This window comes from Homo sapiens, chromosome 15, assembly GCF_000001405.40.
Source record: "Homo sapiens chromosome 15, GRCh38.p14 Primary Assembly".
Classification (NCBI taxonomy): Eukaryota; Metazoa; Chordata; class Mammalia; order Primates; family Hominidae; genus Homo; species Homo sapiens.
Window position 1 is genome coordinate 28336452 of NC_000015.10, and position 22816 is coordinate 28359267.

A 22816-nucleotide genomic window follows, 5' to 3' on the forward strand; every position below is an offset into this window, starting at 1 on the left:
AAAAAGAAATTTATGAACAGGAAGCAAATGCCTCAACATTTCATAGAAGGAGGACTCCATTGGATAAAGACCTTATTAATACGGGGATCTGTGAGTCTTCTGGCAAACAGTGTTTGCCTCTGGTTCAGCTCATACAACAGCTTCTTAGGTAAATCATATTAGCTGTATTGTATTGTGTTTTATTTATTTACTTTTTTTTTTTTGAGACAGAGTTTCGCTCTTGTTGCCCAGGCCGGAGTGCAGTGGTGCGATCTTGACTCACTGCAACCTCCGCCTCCCAGGTTCAAGTAATTCCTCTGCCTCAGCCTCTCGAGCAGCTGGGATTACAGGCATGCGCCACCATGCCCCACTAATTTTGTAGTTTTATTAGAGACAGGGTTTCTTCATGTTGGTCAGGCCGGTCTTGAACTCCCGACCTCAGGTGGTCCATCCACTTTGGCCTCCCAAAATGTTGGGATTACAGGCATTAGCCACCACGCCTGGCCTATTTATTTACTTATTAATGGTGTTTTTTGTTTTTTGTTTTTTTTTTGAGATGGAGTCTTGCTCTATCGTCCAGGCTGGAGTGCAGTGTCACGATCTTGGCTCACTGCAACCCCCGCCTCCTGGGTTCAAGCTATTCTCCTGCCTCAGCCTCCCGAGTAGCTGGGACTACAGGCGTCTGCAACCACACCTGGCTGATTTTTGTATTTTTAGTAGAGATGGGGTTTTACCATATTGGTCAGGCTGGTCTCAAATTCCTGACGTCAGGTGACCCACCTGCCTTGGCCTCTCAAAATGTTGGGATTACAGGTGTTAGCCACTGTTCCCGGCCTGTATTGTATTTTAATAGGTGATTATTGGTTTTCATATTAAGATAGTGAAATCTAGCGCAAGGGTCTCAAAAATTTGTTTGATGATTGAAGGAATATTCTGAAAATTACCTAGTATAGATGTTAGGATAAAGAGCAGACCCTTCTCAATATAGGTGAGAGGAGAAGTTGGAGGGTGTGATGATACTCAGAAGTTTTTCACAGAAGAGAAATTGGGGCGTGCAGTAAACATGTAAAAAGATTCTTACTAATAAGCAGGTAGGTGCGAATGAAAATCATCATGGAAGGTTATTTTTAAAACTGGTTCTATCATTGCCTCACTTTACATATTACAGAGTTGTACATACTGCTTTGTAAGATAACTTTTCTTTTCAAAACTGAAGTCAATGTGATAGAATGGTGAGCATTATTTTGGAAGGCCAGACTAGGAGGAGGTGGGAGGAGGAAGTCAGACTCAGCCTGTGAACAGACGCTAACCTTGGCAGAAGCCAAAACAGTCAGACAGTGTTGTGTAAAAATGATCATTCAAGAAGAGCGAAACAGCAAGGTGATTTGTGAAAGAGATTTATTAGAAAATGAAACACATTTATACCTCTGTTCAATAAAAATCTGCTTTTCGTCAACTGATGCTCCTGGTTTTTGTTTCTACACATAGAGAAAGCAGAGCCCTGGCAGCTTGGGTCAGGCAGCCGAGTACAGACCAGGGAGCCCTGGGCAGTGGCTGCAGCTCTCAGCTGGCCTGTTCATGGGGCCATGGTGGGTCTGTGGCGTGGGGTGGGCCTGTGGCGTGGGGTGGGCCCGCGGCGTGGGGTGGGCCCGCGGCGTGGGGTGGGCCCGCGGCGTGGGGTGGGCCTGCTGTCCACAGCCAGCAAAACTAACTTAGTGCACACACAGTGAAATTTTGAAACAGGAAGTTTTAGAGCTAGTTTCTGTCATAGATTTTAGTAAATGCTATTTTGCAAAACCTTTTTCTGATGTTTGTTTTGTTTTTCTAATCTGATAATGCATATTTCACACATTCTGGTCTTTAACAAATGGAAATAAAGAGAACTAAACAATATAGTTTGTGTCGATGGAAAGAGCTTGGGATTTGTTCTCAGAAAATTTCAGTTACAACAGTTTGTTCATATAGGTGGACTTCCAACACAGTAACTATAGGAGTAAGAATAAAAGCTGTGTTTACTTTCACAGAGTTAATTAAGAATACATGAGAAAATGGATGTTAAAAACCTTGTAATTAAAATGTACAGTTACATGCAAAGTTTTAAAGTGAGCATTTTCCAGAGGTGCTTTTCTAAGTTCTTGAATGCCTCTCCCTTTTCTGAAGTGGCTGCTTCGTGGGGCTGTTGGTCTTTGGCAGGGGGTGAGTGCAGGGTTCCTGTTGTGGGTCCTTTGTTCTCACGAGGGCAGTGCCCGTTTTCCCCGTCTCCTGCTTGCCCAGACTGTTCCCGTGCGCAGAGAGACTGGCCTGTTTGACCTGCAGCTGTGCTGTTTGAGCTGCAGCTGTGTAGCCTGCGCTGGCCCATCTGGCTACACTCAACACCGTTTGCTGATCAGCACTTGAAGTCTGTCCGTCATAGCTGAGACACTGAATATTTTATCTGTTTAATTTTTATTCATTAAAATGCAGGTTTGAAAATTTGATTCTGTTATTAGAAAGCACTTAAGTATGTTTAGAATCACTTGGCCTTGGGAGTCTACTTTGTCAACTGTGTATTTTATGAGTCTAAATGGAGATCAGATGTTTTCAATGCAAATTTCACTGTCCAAATTGAAATGTGTTACATATGTAAGCTACTCAGATGGTTTTTGAGGACTTAATATGAAATAACCTATGTAAAATATCTCAATAATTTTTCTTAGATTGATTTCATGTTGAAATGGTCATATTTTTGATCTGTTGGAATAACTATGATACATTATTAAAATTATTTTTATTTTTTAAGATGGAATCTTACTCTGTTGACCAGACCGGAGTGCAGTGGTGCAATCTTGGCTCACTGCAACCTCCGCCTCTTGGGTTCAAGTGATTCTCCTGCCTCAGCCTCCTGAGCAGCTGGGACTACAGGACTACAGACTCCCGAGCAGCTGGGACTACCACCACGCCTGGCTGATTTTTGTATTTTTGTAGAGACAGAGTTTCACCATGTTGGCCAGGCTGGTCTCGAACTCCTGACCTCAAGTAATCTGCCCGCTTTGGCTTCCCAGAGTGCTGGGATTACAGGCATGAGCCACTGCAACCAGCCATTAGTACAATTAATTTTATGTGTTGTTGTTTTTCTTGTTGGTGTGTTTTTTTTTTTTTTTTACTTTTGTTAATGTGACTAAAAACAATTTTTTTTCCCCACCCGGAGATGGATCCTCACTCTGTTGCCTGGACTGGAGTGCAGTAGCACGATCTCAGCTCACTGCAGCCTCTGCCTCCTGGGTTCAAATGATTCTCCTGCCTCAACCTCCTGAGTGGCTGGGACTAACAGAAGCATGCCACCATACCTGGCTGATTTTTGTATTTTTAGTAGAGATGGGGTTTCACCATGTTGGCCAGGATGGTCTTGAACTCCCAAACTCAGGTAATCTGCCCACCTCAGCCTCCCAAAGTGTTGGGATTACCGGCGTGAGCCACCGCACCTGGCCATGTTTATTAATACGACTAAGAACATTCTGAATTGCACCTGTGGCTCCATTGGTGTCCTGGGCAGGTGGCTCTGTGCTGTCCACACAGGTTGTCTCCTGTGTCTTCGTCTTCGCTGCGTGTGACTTTTTGGTTCCTGTGGCACGTGGGGTCCTGTATGGGACATTGGTTCTACAGCAGATTTATAGTAAGGATGTACCTACTAAAAAATACAAAATAGAAAGAATAGACACAAACATAGAAATAAGTATCACCTCACAAAAATTTTGGAAAGTAGAAAAAGAAAAATGCATTCGCAGCTTTCCAGTAGCCGATATCCAGGCTGTCTTCATAAGCATGGATCATGTGTCCCTCTCCCGCATGGGTAGACACTGTTTTCTCACCTTAAGTGTTTGTGAGTGAAGGATTCTTGATGTGTTGACTTGGCAGATGCAGTTGTTGAACAGTAGTTTATCTAAAGATCGTAAGAGACTTTTGGAGACATTTCACGTCCTTTTTTCCCTTGGAAAACGTGAGTTGGAGAAATCGCTGCTTGCCAAAAATAAGCCGTGAAACGTATTTCAGAGTAGATCGTTATTTACTTGCTGGCGAGGAGCCACAGAATACCATTTACATTTGAAAATAGAGCGCTGCAAAGTTTTTATAAGTAGTGAATCCCATCAGAATTACACATTTTGATTATGGCTCTAAATTTTATATTAAATAAACTAAAAATTTCATTGTATTGTATTACCGTCTCTTGCTCCTTCAGGTGTAGCATACATGCTAGATTCTAGACCTGTTTCTTGTGTTACAGTGGTGTTATCCAGGCAGGGTATCATGTAGTGAAGGTGATGTCGAGTGGTGGTGGTGAGCCCAGTGAAGGCGCATCCTTGCCGTGTGTGATGAGGGCCTGTGGGTTGCTATGGGATTCCCCAACCCTGGCTCCTCTGTCTCCTGCTTCTGTCCTTACTCACACTGCTGGTAGTTTTCTGGTGTGAGACACGGGGGCAAGTGGGATTGACAAGCCTGCTGTCACATTAGGAACCTGAGTTAAAGTGGAGCTGAAAGCATGTCCTCGCTCTTGATGTTGTGCAGAGAGCCACCTGTGCTCCTGGCTCAACGGGGCGGGTGTGGTGGGTCTGGAACCAGGCCCTGGTTTGGCTCTCCTCCCCTCCATGTTCCCCTGTCCTGTCTGATTTGCTTCACACTGACATAAGAGTTACTTTCCCTCGGCCTCCCAAAGTGCTGGTATTACAGGCATTAGCCACCGCGCCCAGCTAGCATCCTTTCAAGTACTGGGGTACACCCAAGCTCCCAGCTTCTAGCTAGGAGTCATTTTGTCCCTCTTTATCCCAAAGGACTTGCCACCATCTTTGGTTCCCAAAGCCCAGGAGGGTCCAGGCTCTTCAGCCTCCAACCACTTTGCATTTCTTGTCTGCTTTTCGTTCATGGAGATAATTAACTTATTTTTCAGCCTGGGCATGTCTTTTTTATTTACTTTATTTTTTATTTTTATTTTTTGAGATGGAGTCTCACTCTGTCGCCCAGGCTGGAATGCAGTGGCGGGATCTCATTTCACTGCAGCCTCTGCCTCCCGGGTTCAAGTGATTCTCCTGCCTCAGCCTCCTGAGTAGCTGGGACTACAGGTGTGCACCACTATGCCCAGCTAATTTTTACATTTTTAGTAGAGACAGGGTGTCGCCATATTGGCCAGGCTGGTCTCGAACTCCTGGCTTCAAGTGATCCTCCTGCCTCAGCCTCCCAGAGTGCTGGGATTACAGGCACGACCACCGCACCCAGCCTTTATTTACTTTGTATATCTCATCTATTACTGCTGCAGTTTGCAGAAGAGAGGATGCCCTCAAACCTAACTTCTCCAAACCATCCCAAATGGGAAGTCTGCTCCACGTCAACAGCATTGTTGCTTTTAAAGACTATACGTCAACATGGCAGATTATAGCAAAAGGATGTCGAGGGAGCAATAGGAAAGCAAGCCTGAGAGTCCTGGAGAGAAGGTGGCAGAGCTGCCTTTTGAAGGTGGTTCCTTCCTCAGACCCTGCCCTTCCTGCCTTGTTCCTCCAGTTGCCAGATTTGCTGTTGGAGCTCCTCCACGGGCGAAGAGGTGAGGCTGGACTGAGAGGGAGATGGAGAAGCTGCCAGAGATTCTTTTGGATCTAGAATTGAGACAGCAGTTCCAGCCAGGTCCAGAGGTGGGGGCTGTCACCCAGCCCCCAGGGGAATGGTACTGATTGCAGAATGTGGCGAGAACTCCCTGGCTGGGAGAGGGAGGTGCTTGCTCCCTTGAATCACCTGAGCCCAGGCTGGAAGGCCCAAGGGGGAGGACGAGGCCAGCTCACTCCAGCTCCATCCCCTCCCTTTAACCCTAAGCTAGTTAACCCTCCCAGACTCCAGTCCTTTTTCCTAAGTGCCCTCCCTGCAAAGTCTGCACCGAGCAGCGCTCCCTCGCACCAGCTCACCCTGCACTGTCTTGTCTTTCAGCAACCCCATGGGTTTGAACTTGAGACGATTCATTTTCCTAAAAGCCTCTTTGGGCTGAGGGAAGGCATGGGTGGCTCTGCCAGTTTTGGAGTGGGGGCCGACTCTTCTCAGAGCCGCTGCAAGGGCCAGGGCCACCCTCCCAGGCGGGTGTCTCTGGGCTGGGCAGCAGCTTTGTAGGCAGCCTGGGTCATCCCCACTGGCCTGGGAAGCTGGGGGTGCACCGGCTCCTGCTCCTGATAGGGCCAAGGCACCTTCCTTACCTAAGAGCTGACTTTCTTGAAGAGTGGGCACAGAGGAGCCGGCAACCTGGGCTGTGTAGGCACCCAGGAGAAAATCTGCAGCTCAGTATCAGAAGTCTCCACCAGCACGGCTGTTGCAGAGATGGGGAAACTGGGCTGAGAGGGAAGGGGGCTTGCCCAAATCACCAGCCCTGGAATGTTTTGAGCTTTGGGGGTGGATCTCCCAGGAAACGTGTTTTTATGGCACCACCGCCTCTGGTCACCCACCCCGAGGTGTGGCGGGCCTGGACAGCCAGCTTGACTGAGGGCCAGGCTGGTGAAGTCAAAACTACCACTCAGGAAGAAGACCTAGCCCTTCTCCAGACAGAGTTCAAATGTGAGGACTGCCTTCTTTGGGCCTCAAATTCCCCACGTGAATTCCAAGGACCCCTCTAGCTCCTACACTCTGGGCCAAGGTTTCCTCTGAGCCGCAGTCAGCCTAGAGGACCTAGGATACATCTTCCTTGGACGGAGACCCACCATAGGGGCAGCAGGAGGTAGGGGTGGGGGTAGGCAAGATTCCTGTGGGGAGGTGGAGCTGTCATCAGAGATGGTGTCTGCAGGCAGTGGGTGTATCGTGGCTCTGCTACTACTTGCTGGGTGGCCCCATGACGTTTCTTTCCCCACTCTGACCTCAGTTTCCCTATCTGTTCTGTGGAGATAAGATGCCTGCCTACATATTTGTGGACTGGGATGTGTGTGGGCCAGTTGCAGTGTTTCTTGGTGTGGTCCTGGGGCAGGCTGCACCACCCCATAGAGATTTCTGGGCCCCACCCTAGGCTCACAGGACCAGAATCTCTGGGAATGAAGCCTGGGAATTTGCATTTCCACAGGCATCTGGCTGATTCTGACATGACTGAAAAGCACTAATAGTATATAGCAAGCTCTTTATAAAAGGTAAATTCATAGCTGCCTTTTACTAAACATAAATCTCACCTTCCCTTCCTCAGTTAAGGACACACACCGCAGTTGAAAATCACTGTGCCTTTCCAGATGCAGAGTCTGACCTTTCCGATAAGATTCTGTTAACTGCTGCTTTCTGCAGTTTGTATTCCAAAACAAGGGGAATATGTTTCCATTTTTTCAATACAAATGTTTAAGTCGGATATGCTTTCTCAAACTGGACACACACTCACACAGCTTAGGGTTTCAGCTATGGCTTCCTCTCAAATTATTAGCCTCTTTCTGCCAGGGAGCAGTTTTTCCCAGACAAGACCCTGGACAGAGGTTGGTGGGGCCCTCCTCATCAGAATCACTAGATTATGACTGACCCCTAGAGGTGGCTTTTCTGCTTAAGTGTCAGCCCATGGGCTGGGTTGTGACCCCCAAAGCTGCGGCAGAAGCTTCCACCCATCCTGGGTCCCCCCTGCCATCTATGGGGAAAGGCCTGTCCCTTGTCTTCTGGGCCCAGCCGGCCTCACAGGCATTCAGCAGATTGGAAAGTCGAAGCATGTGCTGTGCTTGGCTGGGCTCTGCTGTGCCCCTTTTTGGGGTGAGGTGGAGTGCATCCAGCCCCCAGCATCCCTGCCGTTTATTCCCACCCCTCATCCCCACCCCCATACACACTCACAAGTACAAACACAAGCACAGTCACTGGCACACACCACTCTGGACAGCACCATTTCCAGCCTCAGCGGGGCAGTTTCCTTACAGGGAAGTTAATGAGGCACTAACGAAGGCTCAGGGGACAGGGGGAACCTCTATCGAGAAGAGGCTCCTAGACTTGGTTCTGCCTCTGAATTGCTGGGGGTCCTTGAGAAAGTTGCTATCCCTCTCTGGTCTCAGTTTCCTCAGGTGAGAAATGGGGGGCCGGCCAAATGGTCTAAGGTTCTGGGAACCTCTAAATCAGAGCCCGTAGCTGGTGGTCAAGATGAGGGAGAGGCCCTCAGGGTCAGCCGAATGCCTGAGAGGCAGGACAGGCCCAAAGGTGAGCAACGTGAGCACATCAGGTGGGCTCAGAGCTGGCGCATGAGCCCCACAGCCTGCAGAGCAGCCCTGTACTCGGGAGCCCGCTCACACCAACCCAGTGGGACTTCAGAGATGTGGGGTCCAGCCTTTCCTACTATTGCTGGGCTGAGGGCTGGGAGCTGCAGATTCTGACCCCACAGCTGCCTTAGACATGCCAGATGGTCTGGGGCAAGACACACCCCTCTCTATGAAATGAGCAGCCAGTCCAAATAGGTACATTAGAGAAGGGCTGTGGGATGGACCCAGCTGTAGCCTGGGGCTACAGACTGGCTTCCGGGGTACTCAAGCAGCTGGCCTCTGGGGTAGCAGCCCCAGGTATGAGAGGCAGGACTCAGAATCTAGGCCAAGCCTCCATAGGAATCCCCTCTGGAGAGCCCGGGCACTCTGCAGGAGGGGCAGCAGGCAGCAGGTGCACCAGGAGCATGTTTCACAAGGTGCCCAATATCGCATCTGCTCAGATAGGCAGCGAGTTGGAAAGTGGATGCAATAGGCAGGGTGGCGGCTGCTCCCCACAGCCAGGAGTCCGGCCCAGCACCCACCTGAGTCCGCCTCAGTCCTGCTCAATTGGGTTATCCGTGCTCTTGGCCCTCTGGTCCCACCCACAGAGGGAGGTCTTTGGGGCGACCAGGTGAGCTGGCCCTTGTGGGAGGATGTAACTGACTCCTGAGCCTGGCGAGCCAGGCAGCCCCTCGCCAACATCCCCACCCCTACCTCTCCAGCCCCCCCGCATTCCCTGATCCTCCCATCCGCTCCCCTGACCCAGCAGTTGCCTCTGCTCACTCTCTTTTCCTGCTCCCAGGCTCGCCTGGTCATGTGTCCTTCACTCTCCTCTGAGTCTCCCTCTTTCCAAGCCGCCTCCACTCTACTTGACACACTCTCCCTTAAGACACCAGAGTACACAAGCGCAAGTCCCTGCACCTCACCTTTACTCCCAGACATGGGAGGGAGATGACATGAAGACCCAAACGCCACTTAGCAGGAGATCTGGGGTATGCAGAGGGGCAGAACGGAGGCTGTGGAAGCTCCAGGGGCTCCCTGCAGGAGGCCACATGTAAGCTGGCTATTGAATGTGGCTCTGAGCTGAGACCTCTCCTTGAAGCTCCAGACCAGGAGCCAGCTGCTAGCTGGACCCCTCCATTTGGTGCCTCAGAGAAACTTTGCACTCTGTAGGTCTAACTTTGAACCCAGAAAATTCCCCCATGTCGGCCCTGTCTCTTCACAGGGAAAGCACCACCTCAGACCCAGTTCTGCACCAAACCCACATTTGAGTCACGAGGCTCCTGCCCTGCACTGTGAGCACTCTGGATAAGCCAGTGCTGAGGGGGAAAGAGCTCTGAATGCCAAGCCAAAACATGAGCTTCAACTCCACCTCCAGCTCTGAGAGCTGTGGGTAGGGAAGGGCCCTCGTCCAGTTTGCTGTAGAAAGATCAGTCTGCCACTGTATGGCACATGGATGGCAGGGGCAGAGTGCAGGTGGAGAGAACAGAAGGTGGGCAGGGCGGGGGAGGCAGGGACATGGCTGTAGCCGTGGAGATGGGAGGACAGACAGGACTTGGTGGCCACTTGGGTGAACCAAGGGAGGAGTCAGGAAGAGACACCCAGTTTTGTATCAGATGTGTAGAGCGTGGGATGCTGTTCATTGACGGAGGGAGGAGGAGGAGGAAGAGGTATGGCATGGGGAGGAGGTAGCTGAGCTCTGTCGTGAATGTCATTTGAAGTCCCCAGGGAAAGCCAGGCCGGCCAGCACCTTCACTGCTTCAGCCAGCTCTCAGGGTGTCTGTGCTCCCTGGCCCTCTCAGCTCCTGCTTCATAGCTGTCAGCTGCAGTGGGAGACAGCTGCACAAGGGCCCAGCATGTCTGTGTGTTTACCCAGGGGACTGCCGCATGGCCCATGCCGAGCAGAAACTGATGGACGACCTTCTGAACAAAACCTGTTACAACAACCTGATCCGCCCAGCCACCAGCTCCTCACAGCTCATCTCCATCCAGACGGCGCTCTCCCTGGCCCAGTGCATCAGCGTGGTAGGTGCAGAGGGTACCTGTGGCTCAGGCTCAGGTGAAGAGGCAGCTCATGCCCAAGCCCTAAGCAGTCAATGTCCAGAGGAATGAAATGACTAGAGTTGACTTAGACTCACCGGTACACGGTGGGGAGGCTGGAGGAGGGTCCATGAGGTTTATAGGTGTCCAGTATTTAATGAGGTCATGGTTTTGTTAACAAAGAAGAAATGAGGGTGGGAGCGAGATCACCACTGGGTAGGCAGCCAATGGGCCTGCATAGACTCTGCTCAGCTGAGTCTCCAGCACGACCATGAGCTTCTCCTCCTCATCCTCCCAGCCCCACCCTACTCTCTCCCCCAGCTTGCTCAACAGGTGACCTTATAGGCTCCCTACTCTTTGCAGGGAATAAGAACCAGACTGGGGGAACTGACGGGTACAGAGGCCCAGGTGTAGGCGCAGGACCACAGGCAGTGAAGCGTCTACTGACCCAGGCGGATGAGGGTCTGGAGAGTGGGCATGGCTGCTGCAGGCATGGAAAGCAGGCACAGATGGCGGCACTCCCAGGGCCCATTGTCAGGGTCTCCACATGTGGACATGTGCAGAGGTGGGGGTGCTGAGGGAGGAGGGGCAGGGAATTTCTCATCTTCTCTCTACTGCCTCTGAGTTGGAGATGTCAGAGGGAGCCATGGCCCACTGTAAAGTAACACAATGTCCCCACCCACAGGATTAGAACCCCTCCCCTGGAAGCAGCTCTGAGGGGAACAGTCACATGTAGAGAGTGCAGGGCACTGTGTCCAGCCGGGGGAAGGAGGTCACCAAGGGGGTTGACCCCCCTCTGGCCAGGTGGCTACCTTCTGACACACCAGCCTCTGTCTCTAGCACGGTGGCCCCCACACACCCAGCCTGTGAAACCTACAGCCCTCAAGAAGGCTTTGGCCAAATTAATGAGCGGCTCCCTCTCCCAGGAGGAAGCACAGGTGAAGGATGTGGAGGGCAGTAGAGTTGTGTGTGCTCCGCCCCCTTTCTCCACAGTCGGATGGAAAGAAGGGGGCTTTCAGCCAGGCTCGCCCAGCCTGGGGTCTGAGTGTCACTGTCCAGCTATTGGCTTCTTGCTTAATGGGTGAGCCCAGCTGCTCCCGTGCAGCTGCCGCCCTAGTGAGGGTGAACCGGCAGGCGAGTTACATTTCTGAAAGCCTGGGAATACAGTAAATATTAGGCTGTGGGCTGCTGGGCCAGGAAGAGTTGTTTATTTTTCAGGGTTTGTTTATCTATTGACTTGATGAGGGAGGGTTATAGGTACAACCAGTTTAAAGATGGAAATTTTGAGAGAGCAGGCAGGGATTTAGTGCTGGGTAAGCCTGGTCAAAGCGGCTCTTTTGGGGCGGCCAGAATCCAGTACCAATGTCCTCAGCATGTTCATCAGCTGCTGGGGGAGTGCGGGACAGCATGAAAGCACAGGAGAACTTTCTGGATGATAGAAATACTCTGTATCTTCAAAGGAGGTGGGTTCCATAGTAATGTTAAATGAGTTAAAACTCATCAAAATGTAAACCAGACCTGTGCATTTCACTAATAGAAATTATACCTCCAATTAAAAACATGTTTTAAAAGACAGATGGGCCGGATGCAGTGGCTCATACTTGTAATCCCAGCACTTTGGGAGGCTGAGGCAGGTAGATCACCTGAGTCAGGAGCTCGAGACCAGCCTGGAAAACATGGTGAAATCCTGCCTCTATTAAAGGTATAAAAAAAAATTAGCCAGGCATGGTGGCACACGCTACTCGGGAAGCTGAGGCAGGAGAATTGCTTGAACCCAGGAGGCAGAGGTTACAGTGAGCAGAGATCGTGCCATTGCACTAGAGCCTGGGCAACAGCGCAAGACTCCATCTCAACAACAACAAAAAAAGGACAGATGAAGGTTTTCAACTTTCAATAAAGGCAGAGGAGCTTGTTACAGATTCGCCTCCCCACAAGAGCAGTTAGAAAAACTGGATAAAAATGTGCCCCGCCCCCAATCAAAAACAATTGTTGGAAGGTAATTGGAGACCTCAGTCAGGACTTGAGTGACCAGGCCTAGGAGGTGATCCTGACAGTCTGTAGTGCTTTCCCACATTTGGTGATTGGTCAACAGTAGAGGGCTAAGAGGCTAAGAAACTGAGTATGAAGTGGTAGTTAAGAGGCTGGAGAGCCTAGCTGAATGTTTGGCACTCTCACAGGGCTGAAATGACCTAATGAGAATTTGGGTCCCAGGAGGGAGATGGGACCTTGGTGGGGACCCTGGAAGGGCCACCCCTGGGAGTCCAAATGAATAAAACATAGACCAGCCATCAGAAAACCTAAAACCTGCTTTGAACCAGCTTAGTCCCGAAGTAGATGAAGGCGATCTGCCCTTACTCCAATTGTGTGCCATAAACTCAAAGTCAATACTCTCTGGAGGCAGATAAAAGTTTACTATGAATGCCAAAAGACAACACAAGACTAAATGAGAAAGACCAAGAAGAAAACTAATAGAAACATACATGTAAGGAAGAAACTTTTTTTTTTGAGACGGAGTTTCGCTCTGTCACCCAGGCTTGAGTGCAGTGGCACGATCTCAGCTCACTGCAACCTCTGCCTCCCAGGTTCAAGCGATTCTCCTGCCTCAGCCTCCCAAGTAGCTGGGATTACAGGCATGCGCCACCATGCCCGGCTAATTTTTGTATTGGCCAGGCTGGTCTTGAACTCTTGACCTCAGGTCATCCATTTACCTCGGCCTCCCAAATTGCTAGGATTACAGGCGTGAGCTACCATGCCTGGCCAGTATTTTGCCACAATTTAAAATAAATAAAATTTTTTTTTCAGGTTTGTGCTCAGACTATATTCTAAACAGTCACATGGCGGCTTACTCTTCTCCAGGCCTTGCTGCCGGCTTTTACATGTTTATTGTCTTTGCCTTCTTGTCATGTGCTCATTAGATGGCAGCTTCCAGGTGCTCCTAAGGGGCCAGGAAAGAGAGTGAGAAGGCACGGAGGTTGCCAGATCATCCCCCTTGGGGCCCCGCCCTCATCAACTCCCTCAACCGGGTCTCCTGCAACTATCGGTGGGCCATCTCGGCCACCGCTTCGCCCTGAGCTTCCTGCTGCTGCAGCTGGGCAGTGCCTCCTTCTCAGAGGCCAGCTGCTGATAGGCGGCCACGTACTGCTGCAGGTGACCCAGGTAATGGTCTCGCTGCTGCTGCAGACTCAGCCTCTTGGCTCTTCAGCTCCACCTGCAGGATAGGCGTCAGGGTAGGTAGTGGCTGGCTTCCAGATTCTGGGCCCATAAACAGGGTAGTGAGGGCACTGCGGGGCTCTGTCGCCTACCCAGGCCCCTGGCCCTGGCCCCTTCCTCCAGGCCTAAATGACTGCCTCCCTTGCCTAGAGGCCCATGCCTCCCTCCCCAGCCTCAAATCTCACACCCTTCTTCCCACCATTTAAACTGTAGGCCACAGACTGGTGGAAAAGCAGAGGGAGCCAACCACCATCTGCTAAGTTGTGGTGAGGTCGTTCTGTATGATCTCCAGGGTTTGCACACACCTCCGCCTGCTCCCCCCAAGAGCTCGGCCTTCTGCCCCAGCTTCCCCAGCCTCTCCTCCAGCTCCTGCAGCCTCACCTAGTGTTCCTGCATCTTCTCCTCCTGCTGCCGCAGCCTCACTTCCTGCTCCCGCATCTTCTCCTCCTGCCTCCGCATCTTCTCCTCCTGTTCTTGCATCTTCTCTTCCTGCTCACACATCTTCTCCTCCTGCTCCCACATCTTCTCTTCCTGTTCCTGCATCATCTCCTCCTGCTCTCGTATCTTCTCCTCCTGCTCCCGTATCTTCTTCTCCTGCTCCCTTATCTTCTCCTCCTGCCTCCGCATCTTCTCCTCCTGTTCTTGCATCTTCGCTTCCTGCTCACACATCTTCCCCTCCTGCTCCCCCATCTTCTCTTCCTGTTCCTGCATCATCTCCTCCTGCTCTCGTATCTTCTCCTCCTGCTCCCGTATCTTCTTCTCCTGCTCCCTTATCTTCTCCTCCTGCCTCCGCATCTTCTCCTCCTGTTCTTGCATCTCCTCTTCCTGCTCCCACATCTTCTCCTCCTGCTCCCCCATCTTCTCTTCCTGTTCCTGCATCATCTCCTCCTGCTCTCGTATCTTCTCCTCCTGCTCCCATATCTTCTCCTCCTGCTCCCGTATCTTCTCCTTCTGCTCCCGTATCTTCTCCTCCTGCTCCCTTATCTTCTCCTCCTGCCTCCGCATCTTCTCCTGTTCTTGCATCTTCTCTTCCTGCTCCCCCATCTTCTCTTCCTGTTCCTGCATCATCTCCTCCTGCTCTCGTATCTTCTCCTCCTGCTCCCGTATCTTCTCCTGCTCCCGTGTCTTCTCCTCCTGCTCCCTTATCTTCTCCTCCTGCTTCCACATCTTCTCCTCCTGCTCCTGCCTCTTTTCCTCCTGCTCCCGTATCTTCTCCTCCTGCCTCCACACCTTCTCCTCCTGCTCCCGTATCTTCTCCTCCTGCCTCCACATCTTATCCTCCTGCTCCTGCCTCTTCTCCTCCTCCCATATCTTCTCCTGCTCATGCATCTTCTCTTCCTCCCTCCACATCTCCTCCTGCTCCCGTATCTTCTCCTCCTGCCTCCACATCTTCTCCTCCTGCTCCCGTATCTTCTCCTCCTGCCTCCACACCTTCTCCTCCTGCTCCCGTATCTTCTCCTCCTGGTCGTGCATCTTCTCCTCCTGCCTCCACACCTTCTCCTCCTGCTTCCGTATCTTCTCCTCCTGCTCGTGCATCTTCTCCTTTTGCCTCCATATCTCCTCCTGCTCCCTTATCTTCTCCTCCTGCCTCCACATCTCCTCCTGCTCCTGCCTCTTCTCCTCCTCCCGTATCTTCTCCTGCTCGTGAATCTTCTCCTCCTGCCTCCACATCTTTTTCTCCTGCTCCCGTATCTTCTCTTCCTGCTCCCGTATCTTCTCCTCCTGCCTCCACATCTTCGCCTCCTGCTCCTGCCTCTTCTCCTGCTCGCGTATCTTCTCCTCCTCCTGCCTCTTCTCTTCCTGCTCCCGTATCTTCTCCTGCTCGTGCATCTTCTCTTCCAGCTCCCGTATCTTCTCCTCCTTCTCCCACATCATCTCCTCCTGCCTCCGCATCTTCTCCTCCTTCTCCCACATCATCTCCTCCTGCCTCCGCATCTTCTCCTCCTGCTCCCGTATCTTCTCCTCCTGCTCCTGTATCTTCTCCTCCCGCTCCTGTATCTTCTCCTCCTGCCTCCACATCTTCTCCTCCTGTTGCTGGTTCAGGCGGTTCCACAACTCGTTCTCTTCCACCTGGGCTTGGAGCTTTGCTGACACACTCTGCAGCTCCTTACCCAGGTGGTCAGCCTCCGCCTGCAGCTGCTGCTGGAATAGTGAAAGTGTTTTTTTGAACCTCAGAAGGAAGCAGAATCATGAGCTAGCCACATAAATGTAATCTATAGGCTGGGCGCGGTGGCTCACGCCTGTAATCCCAGCACTTTGGGAGGCCGAGGTGGGCGGATCACGAGGTCAGGAGATCGAGACCATCCTGGTTAACACAGTGAAACCCCGTCTCTACTAAAAATACAAAAAATTAGCTGGGTGTGGTGGTGGGCACCTGTAGTCCCAGCTACTTGGGAGGCTGAGGCAGGAGAATGGCGTGAAGCCGGGGGGTGGAGCTTGCAGTGAGCCGAGATTGCGCCACTGCACTCTGGCCTGGGTGACAGAGTGAGACTACTTCTCAAATAAATAAATAAATAAATAAATAAATAAATAAATGTAATCTATAAAATAATGGTTTTCATCCATGATCCTTTAAAAAAATATTTTTAAGCCCTAACTCTTGAGATTCTGATTCCCCAGGCAGGGCCCCAATTTGTACATTTTTAGTACACTCTAGAGGATTCTATGGCGGGGCCAGAACAAGGACCCAAATTTTCCAGCTCTTGGCTGGAGCCTCCCCATACCCTGCATGATCCCTAGACCATGGTCCCAGCTGGATGGGTCTCCCACAACCCCCGGGGCTGCAGCTGCTCACCTGTGGCAGCAGGAGCTTGGCCCTCTCCAGTTTCCTTTTTAGCTCCTTTACGTTGAGCTGGATCTCAGACTTTTCAGATTCTACAAGTTGAAGTTTTTCTTGTAGTTTGGCATTTTTCTCCTTCAGCTCCTCATCAGTTATGCTATGGCCAGAGGCAGTAGAGAAAGGAATGAATGAAGAACATAAAAGACCACTTTGGTGATTGACCCCCTACCCTCGCCCCACAACCACAGAACCGTGGCGCTGGAAGGGACCCCAGGAATTAAAAGTCCCAGGTGGCAGGCCAGAGAGAAGACATGAGTTGCCTGAGGCTACCCCATGAGTCAGTGGCACAGCCAGCACTAGAGCTTCCGTGTGCACACATGAAAACATGTATGAGCCTCTCCCCACACTCACCTGGACCCCCCACCTCCCAGCACACCACCCATGCTAAGGGCCCCCAGACCTCCCATTCCACCTTCCCCCATCCTACGTGTTCCTGTACAGTTCCAGACTCAGGGCGTCCCTCTCCTTTGTTAACTCCTCAATGTACTGCAAATAGAGAAAGGTTAAGTCAGGATAGAGCAGGCACAGCAGTAGCTGGACGACCAGGAACAACTGCTACAGTGACTACTCCACAGTAACACTTCCTCACTCTCAATCACACCTGACGTGTTCTCAAGGCATTTCCAAGCCCATGGTCTCATTTGTTTTTCTTTCTTTCTTTCTTTCTTTTTTTTTTTTTTTTGGCAGAGTTTCATTCTTGTTGCCCTCACTGGAGTGCAATGGCACAATCTCAGCTCACCACAACCTACACCTCCGGGGTTCAAGCAATTCTCCTGCCTCAGCTTCCCGAGTAGTTGGGATTACAGGCATGTGCCACCACACCGGGCTAATTTTGTATTTTTAGTAGAGACGGGGTTTCTTCGTGTTGGTCAGTCTAGTCTTGAACTCCTGACCGCAGGTGATCCGCCCACCTCAGCCTCCCAAAGTGCTGGCATTACAGGCGTGAGCGAGAGCACCTGGCCCTCATTTGTTTTTCAAAGAACTCAGTGGATGTGGAAGGGACAGGGAAAGAGATTGAATTTAGGGCTGGCTAACAGGGGCCCAGAGCGATCAGATAATATTGTTATTGTTATTACTGTTATTACTACCACTGTTGGAGCCTTTATTGGGTGCTTCACCAGGCACTATGCTAACAATCCCATTTAATCCTCACAACCTCCATAGGAGACGGTTACCATTATTACCTCTATTGTGTAGATGAAAAACATGCGGTATTAAAGGTTAAGTGCTGCCTAAGATCACTTGGAGCTGGGATTTCAACACCCAGGTATATCTGATTCTCTAAGCCCATTCTTCCGCTGGAGGTAGGGGCACAGTTAAGAAGGAGGAAATTAATCCTTTGTTGAATTTTTGAAAGGATGATACGTTCGCATAGTCCAAAACTCAGAAAGTCCAGAAGGGAAATATCTCCCCCCAACACTGTGCCTCTATCCTGAGTTTTTTAATGAATCCTTACAAACGTGTTTTATGTATGTTACCATAATACGTACACACACACACATATACACCTGCCCCCTCTCTCCACACAAATAATAACATACTCAAGATACTCTTCTGTACCTTTATGGTACAAGTACCCTAACCGCCACTTAGGACTTGGCCAAGGCCACAGCCAAGTATGGGCAGGGCGGGCACTTGGCCTCTGAGATCTATGTCCAGTGCTCGCTCCTCACAGTGCTCCCCAACTCACCCACAACAGCCGACTCAGCCCCAGTCTGCCTCTAACAACCACACACAAAAGCAGCAAGAAATGGCCATGCTGCCTTCTGGGCAGGACACTCCATCCTACAGAAGGGACCTTTAGGCTCACTCCTCCATCTGCGAAGCTGGGCTCCCAAGGGACGGGGCCGTGTTTGGACTCACCCTATCCGCCTTCTTCTTCTGTGTAGCGACAGCAGAGAGAGCCTGCTCTAACTCTCCTGCAAACTTCCATGAATCATGCAGGCGGCTGATCAGATCCCTGGCCTCTCCTGGAATGAGAGACATTCAGATGTGGCCCAAAGGACTCCCCCTAAAGGCCTGTCAAAGTGCCAGGTTGAAGGATGATGGGGTGCCAGATTCCCACCTTCCAACTGCTTGACAGCATGCTGGCTGTAGTAAAGTGCCATCTGAAGCTCAGTTTTCTGACATGTAAGGATTCGTATGGTTTGAACCTGGGCCTTTGGGAGAAAAGACAAGCAAATGCTGAAAGAGAAGCAAAGAAACATTCTCCAGAGGGCAGGAGGGAACTTCACACCCTCCACTCACCTCTAGCTCCCTCCTTAGGGCTTCCTGATGTTGGTGGCTTGCCTTCTGTTCCTATAGAAAGAGGAAAACAGAGCTCTTGCTAGGGGGAGGCAGAGATGGCACAGCAAGAGACATGCCCCCAGAATGGCACCACTGCCCCAGAACAGGCCCACCCATGGGACCAGTTTATCAGGGACCCTGTGGGGATGGGGTGGAATCTTGGGGGTGAGCCTTCTTCCCCAGGCTGGGAGTGGGTGAGATGAGCCTGGGGCCTCTACATCTGAGTGCCCCCAAACCCAGCGGTCATGTCGTGAGCAAAGAAATCACACTACTTCTTCCAGCTGAGCTCGGTTCTATTGTTTCTGTGGGGAGAGTCAAAGGAAGGTGACTGAGGGTGGCCCCCTTGACTCTATTCCCCAGGCCAGGAAGCGATAGGCAGGGGCCAGGAATGGATTTAAAAGGCACAGTTCTCAGACCCAATGGGAACATGAACTGGTCAACTCTCCTCAACTCCCAAAGAAGAAGGATTTGGGTCTTTTTGGTTTTTGCCCACAGCCACAGAACTCAAAGTCTGAAACTAGATTCTCTTGAAAAGACAGTAACAGAAACCTTCAGAGGTGGAGTGCGAGAAAAGCCCACCCTTCCGCCAGCTTGTGATTTAGAAAGGTGCATTCACTCAGCAAACGTTGAGCACATACGGGCCAGGGACGGTTCTTCACAGCGGGAATAGAGGTCAGAAAAGGCAGACAGGAGCCCTTGGCCCCGAGGTTTCCATTCTAGTGGGCCTTTAACTCTCGGGCTCTCAGAGCTAACAGAAACCTCTGATACTCTCTAACTCTACCTCAGGAAACGCAAGCCCAAGAAGGAGAGTTTACAGCAGGTCCTGGACGAGGGATTAACATAAAAACACAATGACAAATCTCATTTAAACTTCACAAATGTAAGGAAAACAATACCACTCGTATTTTACGGATGTGAAAAGAGAGGCCCAAAGAGCTCAAGCAATTTGCGCTAAATCATATCCCTAGCAGATGGAGGGGTAGGATTCAAACCCAGAATTCTTAGCCAGTACCTGGCAGTTCTTCCACAATCTTAACAATTACCCTCCACCACCCCTTGGGCCCTCTGTCCCCAGGAGCCCGGCCAGCCAAGACTCACATCCTCAGGCGAGTGGCAACCACCAGAAGTGGTTGTCTCAGGGTTAGTGCCATTATTTATTTTCTTCTTTTTGGTGTCGCTTGCTGCTGTACCAACACTAGGGTTGGTCTGGGGATGATGGTCTGTCAACTGTGGAAAGGAAGAGCAGTGATACTCATGAGAACTACAAGCTCCTACAGTCACATCCTGCTTTACAGTTTATACTAAATACTCTTATAGACCATCTGATTTAATGCCACCAACTGTAGGAAATGTTGTCACAATCACTTAGTGACTGAGAGAGATTGATACCATGGCTGAAAAAAAAGGCAGTAATGGAACTTAAACTCAGTCTTCTGACTCTGAGCTCTGGGATTTTGCCCTAAATCAGCAGCTGCCAGGGACCAAAACCAGAGGCAGAGGTAGAAAAGCAAATATTAAGTAGGCAGGAACTGTGCACTATGTGGTTTAGGGTTATTCACCCTCACACGTCTGTTAGTGTTAAAAAGTACACCAGTACCTCTCAAACCTTTACATCAATGTCTCCTCATGGCAGAAGGCAGCCTTTCTGCTAAATCTGGGAATTTAACAGAAAGAGGACAACCCAAGCCTCATTTCAGAGAGAAGTCTTGTATACGCTTATAAATCTATGTGACTTTCATCCCTAAGTACATTAATGTTTTGTCTCTCAATAGAATCAAGGGAAACTGATGCTTCAGAAAGATGCCCCATATTTATCCTGTGGCACTCAAAGTACCCCAGGTTGAGATGAGATGAGGAAGACTCAAGCTAAGTTCAGTTTCCCAAGATCTGTTCCACAGAAGATAAGCAGATCTCACTCCAGAACCAGTGACTGAGGGGCACTCTGGTCCCAGAACAATGGAGAATTCAAATCTGAGGTGCAGAACTGAGAAAAAATGTTAAAATCTCTCTGGAGAGTAGAAGCCTGGGAGAAAACCAAACCAAACCCGTTCTCCCATTGCCACCCAGAGACACTGTCAACGTGTTGAGCTCATGGGGGAGGTGTAGGCTTTTCACACTGTCAAGGTCTGTGGTAAGGAAGTCAGGCAGCCTGAAACCTCTCTCTTCTAGGTCCCACAGTCCCCATTCCCCTTCCAGCTGGAAACCTGTGCTGCAACCAGAGGAAACAGAAGTGGGCAAGAACACTTAGGGGACTGGGTCCTAAGACCAAAGGCCGGTCTTGTGGTAGTAATGACAGTTTGTAGCGGGACTGTGACATCACTACATTCTACTCCTCGGTGGAGTGGTTGGGGGGGACACATGAGTGCAATGCCCAAGTTGCCGCTTTGAGACTGGGGAGGGGGTCACAAAATTGGGAGCCAGGTCCTTGGAGACGTGACCCCAAAGAGCCCCGGGAGGTCAGGCTTGGGGCGGCAGGAGGTGAGGGCCAATTAAGGAGCAAGGAGCTCCAGGAGTCACATCCCCAAAGTCACCCTGTGGCAACTGGTGAGGGCAGGTTCTGGGGCACCCAGGTCCTTGGAGATGTGAGCTCAAGGAGCCCAGGGAGGTCGGGTTTGGGGTAGCAGGAGGTAAGGGCGGAGTATGGAGTTGGAAGCCCCAGGAGTCACCTGCTCAAAGTCACCCTGGTGTGCCGGGCAGAGCAGGGGCAGGACTTATGAGGGGGTTGGGCTGGCTGACAAGATTTTGGTGTGGGGAGCCCAGAGACACTGGGGTGGGGGGCCCAGCCTGGTGTCCCTCAGGAGTGGCACAGACTCTGGCAGCAGTTCGGCTGTCAGAGGGGGCCTCGGGTTGGGTTGGGGTGTTGGTGCGTTTACCTGTTCCTTGGCCTCGGCCAATTTGCTCTGTCTGGTTTCTTTGGACATCATAGGATGGGTAGGGAGGTGGGGATGGGTAGGGAGGTGGGGATGGGTAGGGAGGTGGGGATGGGTAGGGAGGTGGGGATGGGTAGGGAGGTGGGGTTGGGGCCACATCAGCATGATCCAGGTGAGGACAAGTATATACCTCCAGTCACCTCTACGTCGCTGTGTGACTGAGCCAGAGAGGCGTAACCAGGGCTGCACTAGAATGCAGAATAGGGGTGTGGCCTTCATGCTTGAAGCCCATTGGTCAATGAGAAAGATGAAAGGAAAAGGAGGTGTGGCCAGACAGCAGCGTGTCATCAAGGACCTGTGTTGTCACAAGGAAAGCTGCCTATGCAACCGCTGTCCCCGCCCACTCCAGGAGAGGGGCGGGGCTGGCTTTCACTTTAAAAACTTTAAAACTTTATTACCTCAATTGAGGTACAAGTCCTATTAAAATGGAAATTTTATAGTGTGCTTGATGATTGATAAAGCAGACTTTATTATCCAACATTCCAATAAGATAATCACAATGTTTTCTCTTTTTTGGAAAAACTTTCTCTTATTCTCCTACATTAGCATTTAGTTTTTTTAAAAAAAACAAACAAACAAGAAACATGTCTAATATCTTTAAAAATACAAAGCTTTGAGCCAGGCATGATGGCTCATGCCTGTAATCCCAGCACTTTGGGAGGCTGGGGCGGGTGGATCACCCGAATTCAGGAGTTCAAGACCAGCCTGGCCAACATGATGAAATCCTGTCTCTACTAAAAATACAAAAGTAGCTGGGCATGGTGGCAGGTGCCTGTAATCCTAGCTACTTGGGAGGCTGAGGCAGGAGAATCCCTTGAACCTGTGAGGCAGAGGTTGCAGTGAGCCAAAATCATGCCACTGCACTTCAGCCTGGGCTGCTACAGAATGTGACTCTGTCTCTAAATACACACACACACACACACATGCACAGACACACACACACACACACACACACACACACAAGGCTTTCCATTTAATAAGCACTCAAAGTTCTTTACAAGGTTAAAGCAAATACAGGACCCTTCTAAAGTAAGGCTAAATGCTAAGTGATGGGGGAGAGAAAAAGGACATAAATAACTCCTACTCTCATGAGTTAATCACTAAATCCGATTTTTCTAGAATCACCTGGCCTCTAAGCCCTGAAAATGAAACTGAATTTCTCACTCGATACTTGGCTATGACTTGCAATCATGAAAACCAAGAATTGTGTTATGTCACTGTGTATTGCTTGTTACCTGGGATCAAGGGTTGACTTTTTCATGATTTGCTCCATCACCTGTGTGCTTCTTCTCCCAGTCCAAACTACGCTTTTTTCTAGAGTTCTACAATTTACAGTTAGTATG

At 50.5% G+C, this 22816-nt stretch overlaps 1 protein-coding gene and 1 pseudogene across 1 annotated transcript; one reads left to right on the forward strand and one right to left on the reverse strand.

Moving 5' to 3' along the window:
• The first annotated feature begins 5316 nt into the window (after nt 1-5316).
• Nucleotides 5317-9226, forward strand: LOC101060587 (pectinesterase inhibitor 10-like; annotated as a pseudogene).
• A 2173-nt stretch (nt 9227-11399) lies between these two features.
• Nucleotides 11400-21633, reverse strand: GOLGA6L24 (golgin A6 family like 24). Its single transcript, NM_001394758.1, has 9 exons — nt 21417-21633; nt 19642-19770; nt 18505-18555; nt 18323-18416; nt 18121-18227; nt 16685-16743; nt 16213-16354; nt 13800-15560; nt 11400-13143 (listed from the first exon to the last, which is right to left on the reverse strand). The coding sequence occupies exons 1-8, from the start codon at nt 21570-21572 to the stop codon at nt 13800-13802; spliced, it is 2499 nt and encodes an 832-aa protein (NP_001381687.1). The 5' UTR covers nt 21573-21633; the 3' UTR covers nt 11400-13143.
• Nucleotides 21634-22816: the final 1183 nt, after the last annotated feature.